Below are 19,054 nucleotides of genomic sequence, written 5' to 3'. Positions count from 1 at the left end.
AGAATTCTTTGAGTTTCATTCCACTAATGATGTAGAAGTGACAAGTGAAAAAGTTAAATGAAAATTTTATGACACATGCAAGACTCATATTAGTAAAAGAATTCTTAGAGACTGAAATGGCAGATAAATCAAAGACCAATTTGAAGACGAAAAAAATTAATAGCTTCTCATCCCTTATCTGCATAACTCATTAAGAAATAGTCTAACAAACGTATTGTTTTTATAACATGATTCAGAATCACACGCAAATTATCTTTGACAGTGGCCATGTTTTCTTAAAGATGCTGAATTCTTCAGAACATTCCATTTATCTCTCCTCTCTCTTTGGAAACCCAATTACCTTGGCATTTTTCCTTGAAGTAATAATGTGTTTCACAAGGTGTCTTCGAGGTCACATCTTTATTTCCTCACCAAGACTTACCATCAGCTGCATAAGAAGCTCAGTGGGCACATAAAAAGGCATACAGAAGTGGGCAGACAGAAGGCAAGAAGAAATATTACCAGTATGGCAGGAGAAAGAATTGGAGTTCCAGTGCCAGTTCTTTCAGTAATTAAATATGTTTACATCATTTTCTTTATTTCTGTAATGTGATATTTGGTTAGAATTAGTCCATGTTTCCTCTACCTCTGCAATACTATGATTTAGACAAATTAGAGATTGTCCAGAAGTTGAGCCTCAGGATGGTTAATCTTAATGGATGAACAGATTGAAATTGAATTGAACATAGGCAGGAGAAAATGGAGGAGAAGCTATTGTAATATGCAGGTCAAGATAACCTGGAGAAAGGAGGAAAGATAATTTTATGGAGTTAGAGAGACAGAATAATTGCCACCTGCCAACTGGTTGAGTGTGATGCAAGGGAAACAAAAGAAAAGGAAATAAACTCAACTCTGAGATGTTAAGTGTTGACTGAGAAGCTGTTTGAGAGAAAAGATGAATCATTAAGGATTTTCTTTAATAAATCAGCATATCTTACTTGTAGACATATAGATTGAAATGTCTAGCAGGTAATTAGTAGCTCAGAAGTCAACTTAGGGAGAGATAAACAGAGCTGGGATCATCTTCATGGATGTGACAAATAAAGTCATGACATTGAATAAGACAGCCAAAGGGGGCAGTACAAGGTTGAATGCCAACAAAAATTAACATAGATAAGAACTCAAGGAATTATTTAGATTCAGCCATTAAACAATCATGGTAACGAGTAAGAGAAAACAAAACAAACTAAACTATTTATATATTATTTTTGCCATATGTTCTATTGTAGATGTTCTAGGTGCTTGAAATACACACACCCATATCCTACTCTTGAGTCTTGGTTAATTTCCCCTCACATTTGTTTAATGCATGCTTAATATTTTTGATCCTATTATTGATTGCAAAAAGACTATAGACAGTCTCATCTCCATTATTGACTGCATATCAATACAATATCACAAAGTACTGTACTATGCTTTAACATTTTTGCCTAGTAACAAATTTATTACTCCAGCAATTTAATTTGCTTGCTGTGATTTTTTGTACTTCAACGTTTTTAGACACTCCATTTTAATCTAGGTTTTTCAAAAGCAGCACTACTGACATTTGGATGGCATAATATTATGTTCTGAGGGCTGCTCTGTGTGTTGTAAGATGTTTAGCAACATGTCTGGTCTCTGCTCACCAGATGCCAGCAGCACCCCCACTTCCAGTTATGACAGTCATAAACATCTTCACACATTGCCAAATGTCTCCTGGGAGGCAGAATCACCTCCTAACTGCTTGCCCTTTGAAAACCACTCATTTAGATTGATGGGGTTCAGAACACACTACCACAAAATATGGCATCTTGGCATTTCAGAAAACAGCAAAAACAGGAAGTTCACTCTGTAAGCTTCTCCCACCCTTCTCCCCTGAAGCAGGCCATAAAAGAATCCTCTGACGTTTCTATAAAGTAGGTCATAAGAACCTTCATTCCAGAAGTACCCTCAAAGACAGAGACACCAAGAAGAATCGGAACATACAGGCTTTGGTAAGTTCCCTACAGTTTATTAATGTTCAGTCATTTCAGATCATACTCCTTTTTGGACAATTGTATTTCTACATGACTGTCCACTTTTTATCAACCTTAAGCATAAAAATACACATTTCTCTGTTTCTTTGGTTCTTCATTTCTGAAGGCTCTTTTTCATGTAAATTTATATTGAATAAATCTGTACGTTTTTCTTTTGTTACTCTGTCTTTTGTTATAGGACTGTCAGGCATAAACCTATCTATGGGCAAGAAACGGAATCTCTTCTCCCCTACAAGATATGTCACTTGTACATAAGCATTTAATTGGGATTTGCCATTTTTAGAGAAACTGAGTCTTTTTTATTTCAATAAGTAGATTTATCTCAATATACTTGATTTTATTCTGCCTCCTAATTGCATATTTTTGTTGCCTACATATCCTTTTTTTTTTTCTATTTTCTGTTAAATGGAATGTCTTGTGTTCTGGGTGTGTGAGTGTGTGTGCGTATGTGTATTTTCTTTTTCTGACAACTTAAAAGGTTTACGATCTGTTTTCCATTTTTTGAAGGGTTATAGTCAGAACTTTGCATCATTTGTTGAAATCGTAACTGATAAAAAATCAGCTTGACTATATCTATTGATTCTCAGATATAAACCATTTTTTAAAATGAACATGTTCATACTTCCTTCCACTGTTGATAACAAGTGTATTTTTTAGTTTCTTTTTAATCTTATTTTCCATTTATTTTATTAGCATTAGTGAGATCCATGATTCTGTGATCTGCCTTTCCCATAAGGCTTCTTCAACAGCTTGAACTTTTACATTCCCATATATCATTTAAAAGCCTAGTATTATACTTGTTTGAATTACTGTTGGACATCAGAGCATTCCATCAAAGAATTAATTCTTATTTATATGTCCATTTTCTTCTAGGTCAACCCCAATGGTAAAAAGCTTTCCTAAAAAAATCATCCCTTTGGTTATACTGATAAGACATGAATGAATAAATAAGAAAAAAAAACTAAGCAGATATGTCACAGCTAAGATATTTTAGACAAATTCTAACAAAAATGTATTGGAGGATAAAGGGTACGTAGGCTGGATTTGAAGGGTAGCATTTTCTCTGAAGAGCCTGCTCTACTTTTCAGTCTGAATCTTTTCAATACAGGCAAAAAAATTGGCAGTGGGGGAAGTTAGGGGTAATAGTGTGTCAGCACATGCATGGCCCTAAGAGTTGTTACAATATCAAAATACTTAGTACAGACTCACTTCCCTGACTTTCCAAGTGCCCTGATTCCTCTAGACTCCCCCAGCCCCTCACATAGGTCAACCCCTACAGTCTCACCACTATGAAACAATAAAAACATCAATGCCTATCATTTCAGGGGGCCTCAGGCACCCTGATCTATCGCTATAGCTTTCTGTTCTATTTGATGGTGCCTGTGCTAATTAGAATTTTAAATTATAAAATTTAAAATTATCCCGGGAAGTAAGCATGGCTGAGAGTCCCATTTCCTATTAGATAACAATAAGAGATGATTAACAGATAGGTAATAGATAAGTAGATAGATAGACCAATTGATCCCTAGCTAGAAGTAGGCATGCTTCAGCTCTACTTTCCATCAGATAAGAAATGTGTGTGCCTGTGCACATGGACAGAATATTGAAGTGTGAGGAACCTTTCACAAGGAAAGTTATCATCCATCTCACTTCTGATTAGCATACAGCTAAATATTTAATTCTTTTGCCTAAAGAAAACATAACTCTCAAAGAGTGAGATTTACGTTTGTGGAGACTCTGGACATGTCATCCTTAAATCTGGCATTATTTTATATCAGGCATTAAAATGTGTACAAAGGCACACATGATTCAGAACAAGCACGTGACATACAATTCATAGAGACTTCATAGAACTAGACCAGAGGATATGAATAGTATAGCAGTAATTAAAAGAAAAAAATAAGAATTACAGGGGAAATTTCCAAATGCTTCCACTATGGTTTTCTTATTTAAGGAGTAAATGCCCTCAAGGCACTGACAACAGATTAAGAACTTGCATTCACTGAGGGAAACTGATGACCTCCAAAGCCCTAGCAAAAACAAACACTGAACATGAACACTTCCAAAAAAACAAAAGCATGTCTTATTATTGTTAAAAGAAAAAACTTTAGATAAATTAATTTTAGCAGAGTTTAAACGAGCAAAGAGACAATTAATGAATGAGGCAGCACCCTAAACGAGTAATGGTTTAGAGAGCTCCACTCTGCAAAGTGGGCAGGCAGTATTTACAGACAGAAAAATAAAATGACAAACAGAAATAGTGTCATTGATTACAGCTCCTTCTTTGCCTTATTTGGACATCTGAGCAGTTTGTAGCCTGTAACTGGCTGAAAGCTCAGCTGCTAAGATTGGCCAAGACTCAGCTACTTGTTACAAGAATATATTCTTAATTTAGGTTGCAGTTTGTTTACATACTAAGTTAGATTGCAGTTTACTGAAAATGGGGCAGCATTAGGCCAAATTCAATTCAACAATATGTATGAAGTTAATCTAAATAGTAGGATGTAATTAAGTCATTGCATTTTGCTTATTCTAAAAATAGTGCCATTCAAAAAAAACCACTATTGATCTCTTCTCCAATGTGCCCTTTACATTGTCTAATATTTTATATTGAAAACAGCACACGTCCTATTTAATTTTTTAGTCATTAGAAGACGACTATTCAGAATTTTTCAATTCATAGACAATACTCCTTTAATCATTTCATATTTCATTTTATTTAAGACAATTCACTACTAATATAAATTGAAATATCTTTGTGATACATTCATTCTGAGGATTTTTTTAACTCTTAATTTCTTTCACTCTTTAATATCCCTTAGCATATTTTGCAGTAGACACCTCCTAGGTTATGTGAAGAAATTTTTTTTTGTTTTTTTGAGATGGAGTCTCCCTCTGTCACCCAGGCTGGAGTGCAGTGGCGTGAACTTGGCTCACTGCAACCTCTGCCTCCTGGGTTCAAGCGATTCTCCTGCCTCAGCCTCCTGAGTAGCTGGGACTACAGGCGCCTGCCACCACGCCTAGCTAATTTTTGTATTTTTAGTAGATACAGGGTTTCACCATATTGATCAGACTGGTGTCGAACTCCTGATCTCTTGATCCTCCTGCCTCAGCCTCCCAAAGTGCTGGGATTACAGGCGTGAGCCACTGCGCCCGCCCTGTGAAGGATTTTAAATATACTTTGCTTCATACGTGACAGAAGAAAAAACAAAATTATTCCAAACTTAAAAACAGATAAACAAAAGAAAATACAAACTTTGTTCTAAATTAGGAATAAAAACCAACCTGATGTTACTTAATGTTAAAAACTAGCGTTCTTTAGAAAAGATGGCAACCTTGTTTATTAGTTTCAGGTACTAAACATAGCATGGGAACTTTAGCATCATTTGAGCTATTTATTCAGCTACTTGACATAAATCAATCATCACCCCTCAGTTGCATCACAAGCTCTCAGACCAAAAATGGCAAACAAATGAAGTTTTGTAAAGTTTTAAAATGTACAACCCTATTCTTACTGAACTTCTTTATTGTTTTAAATTAAGGGCACAGTTTGATAAAGAGAAAGCCTGGCAAGAAAGCACATATAAAAATTAAGGTGAAAGGGGGTAACATGCATAGCAGTTAGAAGAATTAGGACAACTATGATTTTTGCATAATATATGTCTTTGCATTATTTATATATTTCAATATTCCATTCACAGGAAATGTGGGGCTATGGAGCAGCAAGGAGACACACAATAAATTTTACAGAGAAACCTGTACCTCTTTGCAGTCAAATAAATCGACTGACAGACCCTGAATAAACACAGCTTAGGTTTTCTTAGATTGCTCTTATCCTGGCTATCCAAGAATGTTGCAACACCTTTAAATTTTAAGATTAAGTTGTCATTGTCAGTTCTTATAACAGATTTTCTTACTCTTAAGTTTATGGGAGAGGAGGAGAATATAGGATAATGTTAATTTCTCTGCCACACAGCTCTGCTTTCTTAATAATTCAGACTCTCTCCATCCAGGGAAAAAATGAATACCTAATGTGAGTATATGGAATCCTGACCCAGCTTTCAGATTGAGAGAGTCTATGAATCATCACATTTGATGTTTATGATTCAAAATGTAGGATTGCCTTAAACTAAGGCAATTAGGAAGATAGTTTTTCAGAGACGTTAGTCTTTGTTAAGATTTCTAGGTCCCCATAAGAGCACTTAGTCAGATAATTGCTAAAGCACATATGTGGCTCTAGGAACTAAGGAAAAAGTAAATGCCATAGGAAGACTATTTTTTAAATTACCTCATTCATCAGTCTATTGTAAGAGACAGCAAATTTGAAACTAAAGGTCACAGGCTGCTTTAGATGCATGGACTTAAAAATTAGAGAAAGTCATCAATAAAACTTAGTTCTTATTCATTATAGTCATTTCATTTAGGAAATTTCCAAAAGGTGAATGGAATTTTTAAGCCCATGAAAGATGAATTTTTGTCACCTTGGCCTCAGAGTGGCTCAGGGTCAGAGAAGGTAGAGAGATCATAAGTTAATAACAGTTTACACACTGCTATCCTTGAAAAGAGTGGAAATTACTGGCTAGAATTTCAGTTTATTACATGGTATACCAGAATGATGGGTGTAAGTGTGTCTGTGTGTGTGCACACACATGTGTGTTTGCCCTGGAAAACTACTGCATCACTTCCCCAAAATAAACTCTTAAATCAGGGGTTATAGCTTGTTTGTCTTAGAAGTGGGTCCACAGGATGTTTACAAGAGAATTCATTTCCCAGCCTTCCTCATATGACTCCTGATTTTCCGTGAAGTAATAATTGTTCCTTCATTTAACTCAACTATAGAATTATTAGGCTGGTGCGCAAGTGACTGCAGTTTTTACCATTTAAAAGTAAAGCCCAAAACCTCAATTACTTTTGCACTGAACTACTTCTTTCATATTCTTTACCTTTAGTCTCTCCAAGCTTCTGTTTCTTCATCTGTAAACTGGAGAGAATAATACCACTTAACACATATGTTAAAATCAAAAGAAATAAACAGATGAAGATGTACATTCAAAGTACCATACAGATACGCTATTTTTAAAAAGACAAAACACATGTATTTTTAAAAAGACAAAACAAAATGTGTATTTCAAAAAGATAAAACAAAATGTAAAAAGCAACAAAATGAAGGAAATTTAATGACAGTGTAACAGGGGACTGAAAATCCTGATTTCTCAATCCTTATTCTATATCTCTTGGTATTTAGTGTAAAAATTTTAAAATCTTTACCTAGCAATCTTGAGGAAGAAACTTGATAACTGATAATACATGAGATTGTTACCTAAGTGAAATATAATCCTATATATTCAACAAACTTTAGAGAAATAAGATAAATTTTAAAGTAAATGACTTCTGTAGTTTTATAGATCCTCCAAACCAATCTAGTCTCAGATCTCACCTTCATCATTTCTCTCATTTCCTTTTGGCCTAATTAATCAAAATCCTTCCTAGAATGTTCATTTCTGGCCAGTATGTCTTCCTGAATATGAATAAGAAATAAAATACCATTTGATGTTTGAAATTATGGGGGTAATCTCAATGACGGAAATAGATGACCAGGAAAAGGGAAACGAATGCCTGATTCATTATATTCATGAAGATATCAAAGGTTTATAAAGCCAATATCTGGGAAAGAGAAAACCGTGAGACTTCCAGATCTTCTCTGGTGAAGTGTGTTTCCTGCAACGATCACGAACATGAACATCAAAGGATCGCCATGGAAAGGTATGTGTGACAACTCACTGCGTTGTTGGTTGTATCAACACTCCTGTGGGGGGATTAATGTGAAATTTTAACTAATAACAAGAGCTTGCAGGTTTACAAGGTTTAGAAGCACAATCTTATGTTTCCTCTAGAAAGCAATTTTACAAGGGCACCATAGAACAGAACAATGGTTCTCAAACAGGGGAATCCTCTCTCAGAGGCATTTGGCAATGTCGGGAGATGTTTTGGGTTGTCTTAACTGAGGTGGGGAAGTGAGGGAAAAGTGCTATTGGTATCTAATGGATAGTGATGAGAGATGCTACTGAACATCCTTCAATGCACGGGACAGCCCCCAGAACAAGGAATTATTCAACTCAAAATGCCAATAATATCAAGATTGAGAAACTCTGGACTAGAATAAGACTCAAAGAGTCTGTGGGTCCAATTTGCCACAACTCTCAAAGGGACAAAGTAACATTTTCTGGTTATCAGGCCTCTAATGTGGATTGGCCAACTTGAATCAACCTGATGAAACTTTCAATTGTGAAGCCATAAAATAGACACTAACAACAGAATTGTCTTTCCTATTCTTTGTCAATTTGGTTCAAGCCAAATGACATTTCAAAAGGAAAAACAGACTGCCTAGTAATAACTAATCACCTTTACTTTCTTGGTTGACATTTGCAAGGAAAATAAATTAGTAACAACCATAAAATGTGTTTCTAATTAAATGAAGAACAAAAACATGTGTCTATTTTATCTCGTTTTGGGCTTTAAAAATCCTTTCCATGCTAAATGTGCAGATAAATGTACTCAGAGTTACAGAACATCTATCCAGTTGTGAATTTCCTAGACCTGCTATTCCAATTCCTCTATCTACAAAGCACATTTTATTTACACATACAGATAAAATATACATTTGGTTTCGTCATATGATTATAGTATGCATAAAATAAACTTTTTGGAAGAATCATGTTTTTGAAAAATTAAAAGTCTATAATAGGAATCATCTCAAACAAAAATTTTATTTTACAACTAACAGATTTAGTCACTTCCTACACTAAGCAATTTTTTAGGTATTTTTAAGTGTTTAGGTTTAGGTACTTTTTCACAAACTAAACTTTAGCATTTGCCTAGTTTTATCTTGGGCATTTCTGATTGCATTTCTTAAAGGTTTTGAAGGACTTAAGTTTTGTGATAAACACAGTTTTATATTGGGCATTCTTTTGGGGTAATGCCACTGAAGTTAACAAGTGATTTTAATTTGGTAGCTATCTATCGTTTCTTTCCTTTTGAAAGTATAAATTATTGATATATATAGGACTGTAACTGTCCATTTGCTGAGATAGCAAATTGATGACAAAGCTTTGAAAACCTTCAGCAAAGATCAGAGTGTTTTGTAATTAGAGCAGGAAAAGTGGAGAAAATCAAGCTTTCTGGGGCCTCTGTTGTGATGTAATCAATCAAAGGCAAAGAACTTGTTATTCTTTAAAAGTGACAGCAACAACCTATGTAAACACTGAGCCATCACGGCTACTCATGCGGCCCCCATTACACAGATGCAGATTGACAGCCCACAGGTGTACGCGATGTGACAAGACGACGTGCAAAGACCACAGTATTGGCATCATGCCTCTCTCACCCACTAATGATACGACTTGGGGAAAATCACTTAACCTCCCTAAGCCATCTGTTTCATCAGTATAATTTGATGATAATTACAAAGGCCCAGTGTATCTCACAAGGTTATTATGAAGCTCAAATATAAAAAAAATTTAATGTTTTTGGCGAAGTGTCAAACACATGCATGGGACTATTACGAGTTAGCAGATCTAAACTACAGCATTATTTTTATGTTAGAATTCTTTTCAAACTCAGTATTAGCAATCAAACAATCGTGTGTTTATTCTTATCAGGCAGGATGATAAATCGAAAGGATCGACTGTACTGTTTTTGTTATATCAGTGTCTACAATGTAAATTATCAGACACACCTAGTTAAAAAAAAAATTACAAAGTGCTGGGCAGCCTGACTGCTGAAAATCTGCAGAAACTCCCAAGACATTAAACTATCTTAAGAGAATGATCCAAACACCCTAGCTCAGAATTAATTTAAGCTCCAAATGTTTGGAAAGTACAGAAGCACTTCTGGGAAACGTACAAAAATGCAGGAGGTAACCCACTTCTCAAACTATATATCTGTGCAAACATAATTATATATCTACATTTACACAGTGGAAGGCGTTTGTTCTTCCCCCATCCCAGCCATTACAGTAGCAAATCAGGCAGCTGAGGGCAGTGGGGAGCAATAAGGCTTTCCTCGGCAGGATTACTTCTGAAAACCTCCGTGGAATAAATCATCTCAGAGTGGCTCGCGTTCTTATTTAAGCAGGGTCCCTCCTGCTGCTGCTGGTGTCAAACCTGCTCCTGTGCCAGAGCGTGGCCCCCTTGCCCATCTGTCCCGGCGGGGCTGCCCGATGCCAGGTGACCCTTCGAGACCTGTTTGACCGCGCCGTCGTCCTGTCCCACTACATCCATAACCTCTCCTCAGAAATGTTCAGCGAATTCGTAAGTACCATGCTTCTGGCTTCCTCCCTGAAGGAGCCTTCACATGAACTACTGGGCTCTGCTACATGTTAACCTAGAAAACCTCCCGAGCCAAATTTCAAACGATACATTTTAACATGTGAAAGAAGACACCAGCTCATAAGATGTGGAACAAGAAGAAAGGGACAGTGCCATGAAATCTCAAAGATTCTCAAAGAATGTAATGACTTAAATTTTTTCTTTAATTCACTTTATTTTTTAAAAATAAAAAAATTTAAACACCTGACCTAAAGCATGTTTAGGTGGGGCTGAGGAGAAGGAAGAGTGTTGATTTCTTGTTCTTGAATGTAGAGGTCAGACTCCACAGGCATTCTTTACTTAGCACGGAATAGATATCCAATAATGAAGAACTGCACTGCAGCAAATTGGGTGGATTGAATAGAATTAAACTGAGCTGAATCCATGGTGGGGAAAATATACAAATAATAACTTTTCAAAAACCCCAAAATGCTAGAAATCATTTCTCTGAGATTTCAGTATATGGGTTTATAATTACAATAAAGGGCTAGTTTAGAATTGGAAACCAGTGCTTTTTTCTTTCTTTTCCTCCCTTCCTTCCTTCCTTCCTTCCCTCCTTCCTTCCTTCTTCCCTTCCCTTCCATTCCCCTTCCTTCCTTCCTTGCTTCCCCTCCCTCCCTCCCTTGTTCCCTCCTTCCTTCCTTCTTTCCTTCCTTCCTTCCTTTTTTCCTTCCTTCCCTCCTTCCTTCCTTCCTTCCTTCCTTCCTTCCTTCCTTCCTTCCTTCCCTCCTTCCCTCCTCCCTTCCTTCCTCCCCTCCTTCCTTCCTTCCTCCCTTTCTTTTCTTTTTCAGAAATATGTACTCTATTTCTGAATAACCTATTTTGGAAATCATAGGTTAACTCTTCTAGGTCAATCAAGGAGCAGACAATAGATTAGTGCTTTAATAAATCAAGGGCCTCCACAGAGAATAAACATACATTTATAAAATTATTTTTACTCTCTGATTTCGCTTTCATCCTCCATTTTTGACTGGCCATCTTTTGTCTTCCAAATCTTCCTAGTAATTTCTTTAGACTTTTATAAGTTTTGCTGAAGACTAGTCTTTCCTGTCAATGTGTCAGCTCATTTTTTATTCTGTTCTTATCCTCAGTCCATTGTTTATATTTCCTAAAATTGTGTGCCCTGTGTTTCTGAATTATTTTGTCATAATTTAAAAAAAAGTTGTGTTCCGTTTCTATCATGAACTTGGTAAGGTATAGGTGTGTGGACTCAGAGAAACTTTTTAGAGAAAAGTTATGATTTTATAATGCCTATTAAGAGAAGTCTATCAGTTTGGGCACACAGTAAATAAGAGATTAAATGAATACATGTAAATACATTTGCACTGTGGCATTTGGCTCAAATGCTGAAGAAAGATGATTCTCAATACAACATTTAATGTTGCATATTTTTGCTATTTTTAGCATTTGCTTTCCAAATAGCAACTCGTGTGACTTGTGTGAATGGTAAAAGTAAACAACAAGGGAATTGCAAAGAAGGAAAAACATTGATATTTATGAAAACTAGATGAAAAAATGAGTTTACAGAGATAATGGGGGGGAAGTAGGCGAAAGGGTTACTTTCTTAATTCTTTAGTTTTCATTTTTATGTAGCTCTAATTTTTTAAAATTACACATCTGCCAAAGGTATTAGTATTCTGCTAATGGATTCATTTATTCAATGCCCAAACAACCCCAACTAATTGAATTTGTCTCATCATTTCCAGGATAAACGGTATACCCATGGCCGGGGGTTCATTACCAAGGCCATCAACAGCTGCCACACTTCTTCCCTTGCCACCCCCGAAGACAAGGAGCAAGCCCAACAGATGAATGTGAGTCCTTCATCCAGGCTTTGCACCAAAACAACCAAGGCAGTATATGGGTATTATCATGGTGATAGGTGCTGTAATAGCTAGTGGTAATTGTACATGCAGAGAAAAATATAGGAAGAATAAGCAGTCAAAAAATTACATTATGTAGTTGATGAAATATGAGTCAAATCAAATGCTAAGTAAAGATGGTGGCAGCAATCTAAATAGCAGATCCGTACATTGTCCTTGCAGATAACATTATTTTAACCAATGCCTTGTCGCTAGGATTGTATATACAGTTTATGAAAGTTTGAACTGAATTGGACTTCTGTGAGTAAATATACATTTATGCATCTGTAAGAAAAAGAAATGCAGTTTTATTTATTACATATTACTCGTGACTCCTACATCAACAGCATGTTACATGACTGACCCCTGCACTATTGGAGCCATCTGTTCTGGACTTTCAAGACTCTACTCTGGTTCTATTTCTGCTACTCTGACACCCACTTTTTCATTCTTCACTGACTCTTCTGCCCTCTCTTACTTCTTAGTTAAAAGTCACCACTCCCCTCACAAAAAATACAGATCCTGTAAAACATAATATTTTGCTTTTCACAGCTACAGTTGCCACTGTTCTGATGACTACAAAGTCTGTATATCAAGCCTCAATCATGTATCTCAGCTTCAATCTTCTATTGCTATGATCTCTTCCTTTTGGTTGTCTACCATAATCACAGCCTTAACATGATTTAAAACAAACATCTTTATATGCATGCCACCTACAAATTCAATGTATTCTCCATTTACAAGTTTAGGAATGGCACCAACATTTCTGTCTGCTATGTTCATTAATAATAATTATGATAATAAGAGAAGGAGGAGAAAGAGAAAGGGGAGAAGGAGGAGGAAGAGGAAATATTTATTGAGATCTACAGGTTATCACTAACCAGAAATCCCAAATACTGAAGAATCCTAAGTTTTTTGAGCACCTACATGATGCTAAAAAAAAAATGCTCATTGGAGTATTTCAGATTTCAGATTTTCTAATTAGGAATGCTCAACTTGTACTACATTGTCAGACACTTTGTGGGCATTACTATATTTAATCCTCATAAAAATCCTATAACACAAGGTACTGTCATTACACTCACTGAGATAAGGAAACTGAGGCTCAGAAAGGTTATGGAATTTGCACCAGTCACATGGCAAGTAAGCAGCGAGCCTGGGCTTCATTCTATTCAAAACCCTTACTCTTAATCGTTGTGTTGCAATGCTCCCAGAAAAACTACACTGACACTCACTTTATGACCTGTACCTCTTTATAGCTCATTTCTTTCATATCCTCTTACATGTTTCCATTGCAATGTCCATTTATTTCTTCTTTATTCTTCATTTTGTTACCACTAGACTAGTTCACGGACATCTACAAAGTAAGCATTTTAAATCAGAGATAATCAGCTACTTGGAGTCTCCTACACGATCGTGGTAGTAAGCAAAACCTAGGCAGGCAGAACTCCATTGTGAATTCCATGGTTATTCAAGATAACATTGGTTCCATTTTATTTACCTGCATAGGCCAAGAGAACAGACTGCTCTGCCAGCAGCATGGGGCAGGCGGTTGTGTAGATCAAGGAAAGCATGTTGATGAATTCCATGTCATCTTCATTGTCTCTTCGTTCTAGGATCCCAAAATAAAACTACAAATCAAAAATGAATAGTTCGATGAACAATTTGATTCATTAGTATGAACGAATGCTTGGATGAGAGTGATTTGGGCCCCTTGGCATGGACCCCAGTGGAATCTATTTCTCATGAGTCAGATACTCTGGGCACCTACTGAGTTTCGGCAAAACTTTAGTTTCTCCCCAGGGACAAGCAAATCAATCAAATACGAAAGATCTTACTAAGTGGACAGATGGTAGAATTTCAGAGGAAAAACAAAATTCTTCATTTTATCAATTAGAACTCTCATTAGAAAAAGTGGTTACTGAAATAAGCCGGATTTTTTTTTAATTTTAGCAAAGTTTAGGCCAATAGTTTCAATTTTACATTTCTACAAATTCTCTCACCTAAAGAAAAATGTACCTACACATAGGAATAAAAAAAGATATTTCAGTACAGCCTCTCTAAGCAAAAATCACAAGTAACTAACCCCATTGTATTTTACCTATTTTAATGCAATTGTTCTATATGGTTTCGTAGCAAAAAGACTTTCTGAGCCTGATAGTCAGCATATTGCGATCCTGGAATGAGCCTCTGTATCATCTGGTCACGGAAGTACGTGGTATGCAAGAAGCCCCGGAGGCTATCCTATCCAAAGCTGTAGAGATTGAGGAGCAAACCAAACGGCTTCTAGAGGGCATGGAGCTGATAGTCAGCCAGGTGAGCAGCCTCCTGGTGCTTCTTTGTTTTTCTCATTAATATAAGCGGTGACCTCTGTGATGATAAATATTTCCCTTTGAAAGAAGGAAATTTAGGCATTCCATATTATAGACCGCTATTAAATAAAGCAAGAGCCTAGTCATTCATAGTCATAAATTTACATACATGTAAATGAATCTTAGAATGCTGTTTGACAGGTGTCATTTTCCCTACACCTACACGCAAAACTACAAAAGACTTGCCCCTTCCTGAGGACAAGAAGTTAAGTGTTTTCAAGGGAGTGAAAACTAGAGAATAGAATCTGCAAGATACATGCTTTCTGCAGGGTATCCCAGGACACCCACTATTGAAAATTCTTTCTCTTTTCTCCCCTCGCCAGAGGATGAGAGTGGGAAGGGAGAAAGAAGAAAACCAAAATCAGATTGGATGGGCCCTCAGCCACTCACCCCGATCTGCTGCACAGACTTGTCAGGGAGGAGCAGATATTAACATGACAAGACAATGACATCAGTGCACACAGGTTGCATTGATTTCAGGAGGTCCCACAAGCACGAGATTGCAGGGAGTCACAAAAGAAGGAGATATACCTTTTCTGGAATGTCTTCATTTTGTAATTTATAGAAAGTTGTCTCATTCTAAATTTTGTTTTTTCTTGGGACTCCAAAGTCAAAACTCATGTCATTGTACTTAATCTCCCCCAAATAATCTGTCATATTTAGATTGTGTTAGTATTTGCAATAGATATCTCCATTCAGATGGGATAATTTCAACATTAGTGAGATAATACCTAAACAGCTTCTGAGGTTTTCAGGGATAATGTACCATCTAAAGAAAAATATATGATTATAGGAATAATAACAGGAACAATTTTGTATTTCTCTTTTTGTGTACTAAGTACATGTTATCATGTATCATTTTGGTTATTTTCATGCGAGAAAAATATGTCCAAAACAAACACAAAGCACATTTTAACCTTGGAATGTGTGAAATAAATACCTTGATTTTCCAGTTATTTTCTTCATTACTGTAAACCTCATTTCTGAGGTCACTAATTTGTTCTATAGTACTTCATTTTCTGTTCTTTTTTCTCTACCACTTATTTAAGTATTCTTGTTCATATCATTATCCCTTACACAGTAAATTTTGTCTTAGGGCTCAAGTACCAAAAATTAAAAATAAAAACATAAAGCCAGTCAATGAATACACACACGCACACACACGCGCACGCACACACACATGCACACACACGCGCACGCACACACACGCGCGCGCACACACGCACACACACGCGCACGCGCATACACACACACACACTTTAAATTCCAATAGGGAATCCCAGATTTGAAAAATATTCTCACTTTGTAGGAAAAGGTTTAGCAGATCGGCGTCTACATCCAGATATATACCTAATAACTCTCCAAACTAGCTGACATCCCTAAAGTTGCTAAAATGGTTACTTGGTCTCTAAGACCTCTGGGCTTTCCTGGTTTGCAAAGGCTTATAGAGTGTGAAGAAACATAGCATGCCCTCTGTTGTGCTGTTCAGCCTCCTTTTGTTATCACAGCCATGCCCCCAACCCTACCACACAGCCCTCACCACTGAAGGGTTGCTGCCAGCAACCCCCTGACCTTTTTTTTTTTAGACAAGTTCTCACTGTGTCACCTATGCTGGAGTGTAGTGGTGTCATCTCGGCTCACCACAATCTCTGCCTCCTGGGTTCAAGCGATCCTCATGCCTCAGCCTCCCAAGTAGCTGGGACAACAGGCGTGCACCAATAGGCACGGCTGATTTTTGTATGTTTTTGTAGAGATGGGATTTCACCATGTTGGCCAGGCTGGTCTTGAACTCCTGACCTCAAGTGATCCACCTGCCTCTGCCTCCCAAAATGCGTGAACCAGTGTAAGCCACCACACCCGGCCTGTACCCTTTCCTTGTAGGTGCTTTTCCCGGCACCTCCCAGCCCAGGGACCTCAAAAGAAAGCAATTGTTTCCCCTAGAAATTTGAGGAAATGAAAATCTCCTGACTATGTAAGCAGCTTTTCTTAGTCATGGTCATCACTAAATTATCTGTACCCCAAAGCATCAAGTGTGAGTACAATCTTCATCTTTTTTAAAGTTTTTGGAACATACACTAGATAGGCAATAGATTGAGTTCAAAGCAGGAAGAAAATAAATGATGTCAGGAAGAATAAAGCACAAGGGATACATCAGGGACAAGACTGGAGAAATGAAATAGTTCCTCAAGTGAGAGCACCGAAGCTAGCTACTCCATTGTCTCTTCGTCAAATCTATGTCAATATTTACATAGTACCTTTCCAGTTCTTCATCTGTCTACTCCTGCAAAAACATACTTCATCTGTGATCCCATAGATGTCAGAGAACCTAAACAGGTATTCTGCTTCTAGTTTTTAGATTAATAGGTTTCTGATACACTGGCCCAGATATACAAAAATCATTGCCTTTGTCTAAAACTTTGCATTCATATCTCATTCTCAATTCTTAATTCAACAGTTAGAAAGAACAAGGACATACAAATACTAATAATATGAAGAATAAGTCACTCTTTTTTTGTGTGATTAGGTTCATCCTGAAACCAAAGAAAATGAGATCTACCCTGTCTGGTCGGGACTTCCATCCCTGCAGATGGCTGATGAAGAGTCTCGCCTTTCTGCTTATTATAACCTGCTCCACTGCCTACGCAGGGATTCACATAAAATCGACAATTATCTCAAGCTCCTGAAGTGCCGAATCATCCACAACAACAACTGCTAAGCCCACATCCATTTCATCTATTTCTGAGAAGGTCCTTAATGATCCGTTCCATTGCAAGCTTCTTTTAGTTGTATCTCTTTTGAATCCATGCTTGGGTGTAACAGGTCTCCTCTTAAAAAATAAAAACTGACTCCTTAGAGACATCAAAATCTAAAATGCCGATTTGTCAAAGTTTCTTCTCTTCATTTAATAGAAAATCAAAAGAAAATCTATCACTCCCATTAAGAAGTTCTTATCAGAATGTGTCATAAACAACAGAAGCTAGCCTTGCACATAAGACAATTAACAGCTTACTTTAAAATCACAGTAGATTATTGTGGGTCAAGTTATTAGAATCGAAGAGTTAGATTATTAATCATGCTAGTCATTCTACAAAGAAGATTGAATTCTCTGGATTCTTTATGAAAGCAGGCATGTTCTGTCAGTTAACTTTCAGTGTTATGACAGACAATATAAGTACTGTGCAACTGCAAAACCTCCAAATAGTATGGAGTTTACTGAGCAGTCTAAAAATTGTTAGGATATAAACATGACATGGATTTCTCTTTTTCTAATAGCTATGTTCAATCATTCTCTACTAAATTCCCATCTCTTTTGCATTATCTTGCACACATTTCATGTTCTAGTAATTCTGAGTCTAACAAGTCTGGTCCAGTCAGGTTTCAACTCCATGTTTAAGTTATTTAATGCTTTTCTCTCCCCCTGTGTTGGCTCAAAGGACCTAACAGAGAAAGCAGATGTGGTCAGTTCCTGCAACTTTTCTTCCGCCTCTCTCTTCTGGATCTCCATTCCTCTGGCTGTGTTGGAATGGGATAGAGGACTAGCAGAGAAGAAAAAGTTCATACATCACTGACTTAGGTAGTACTATCGTACCCTTCCCCTTGTTGACAGGGACCGACCTTGGATTTTCTCTGAGTAGTGGGTGTCTTTCTAGTGGAATTGATTTATAATTTCCAAGATACCAACCAGTGAGGACACCACACAGTATAGTTTCTTTCCCAGGGGAAATGCTCTGGCTTGATTCTCCTATTCGCCCCATAGCTCTGCCATCCGTAGCATTCTCCACGGCCTCTGCTATTGCTCCCCTCATCCTGCAGGAACTCTGTTGAAGAAAACTGGCATGAGGTCAGCTATGTGTCAACTGCCCCATAGGAAACTCATGCATCGTAACCTCTCCAAGTAATGAAGTAGCAATAGGACTAGGTCATGGCTGACCCCTTCCCGGGGTCTCTACCAATTCCCTTCTCCCATTGACATAGACACAGAGTAGATCAGAAGTTGGATTCATTAGCAGACATTCACCTCAGGAATGAGATGCTAGTCTTTCCTTCTTTTAAACCTAGTGAGTAATTATCTCTATTAGCAATTATCTTGGAGAGTCAACCTCACAAACATTCTCTACTAGGTCACTGAATTATAACACCCTCCTAAAATACCTAATCTTCTATTTATTGAGTATGGAGAGAGGTGACTGGATGAGGGTCCCTAAATTTGTTCAGTGGCCTCTAAAGAACCTAAAATGAGGGCTAACCTCATTGCAAGCTCCCCTTAGAAGGCGGTGGTATTGTCAGGCTGGTTTTGCAGCAGCTTCTGGGCTTTAGCAGGGATTTCTAGAAAATAGACAATGGAAAACATCACTTTCAACTTTCTGATAGACATTAAATAAAAAGGTGAGGGGGTAGAA

General features: G+C 37.1%; 1 protein-coding gene across 6 annotated transcripts; it reads left to right on the top strand.

Annotated features, from left to right (window-relative positions):
• PRL (prolactin) lies at positions 1,937 to 17,526 on the top strand. 6 transcript variants are annotated; one of them, XM_011514754.3, is made up of 7 exons: positions 1,937 to 2,012; positions 2,928 to 2,940; positions 7,693 to 7,817; positions 10,185 to 10,363; positions 12,127 to 12,234; positions 14,419 to 14,598; positions 17,179 to 17,526. In XM_011514754.3, the coding sequence occupies exons 3-7, from the start codon at positions 7,790 to 7,792 to the stop codon at positions 17,368 to 17,370; spliced, it is 687 nt and encodes a 228-aa protein (XP_011513056.1). In that variant the 5' UTR covers positions 1,937 to 2,012; positions 2,928 to 2,940; positions 7,693 to 7,789; the 3' UTR covers positions 17,371 to 17,526. The 6 variants fall into 6 exon arrangements, with proteins under 6 accessions (XP_011513056.1, NP_001157030.1, XP_011513055.1 ...); NM_001163558.3 differs by lacking the exon at positions 2,928 to 2,940 and having other exon boundaries at positions 10,188 to 10,363; XM_011514753.3 differs by lacking the exon at positions 2,928 to 2,940.

This window comes from Homo sapiens, chromosome 6, assembly GCF_000001405.40.
Source record: "Homo sapiens chromosome 6, GRCh38.p14 Primary Assembly".
Taxonomy (NCBI): Eukaryota; Metazoa; Chordata; class Mammalia; order Primates; family Hominidae; genus Homo; species Homo sapiens.
Note: the sequence above shows the minus strand (reverse complement) of the source record. Positions and strands in the feature narration are given on the sequence as shown.

What these genes read in the sequence shown, in the direction of transcription:
- PRL (XM_011514753.3), top strand. Translation starts at nt 7,790, where the DNA reads ATGAACATCAAAGGATCGCCATGGAAAG. An exon ending in CAGAAATGTTCAGCGAATTC is followed by an intron (nt 10,364 to 12,126) that starts GTAAGTACCATG and finishes CATCATTTCCAG; the next exon opens with GATAAACGGTATACCCATGG. An exon ending in TGGAGCTGATAGTCAGCCAG is followed by an intron (nt 14,599 to 17,178) that starts GTGAGCAGCCTC and finishes TTGTGTGATTAG; the next exon opens with GTTCATCCTGAAACCAAAGA.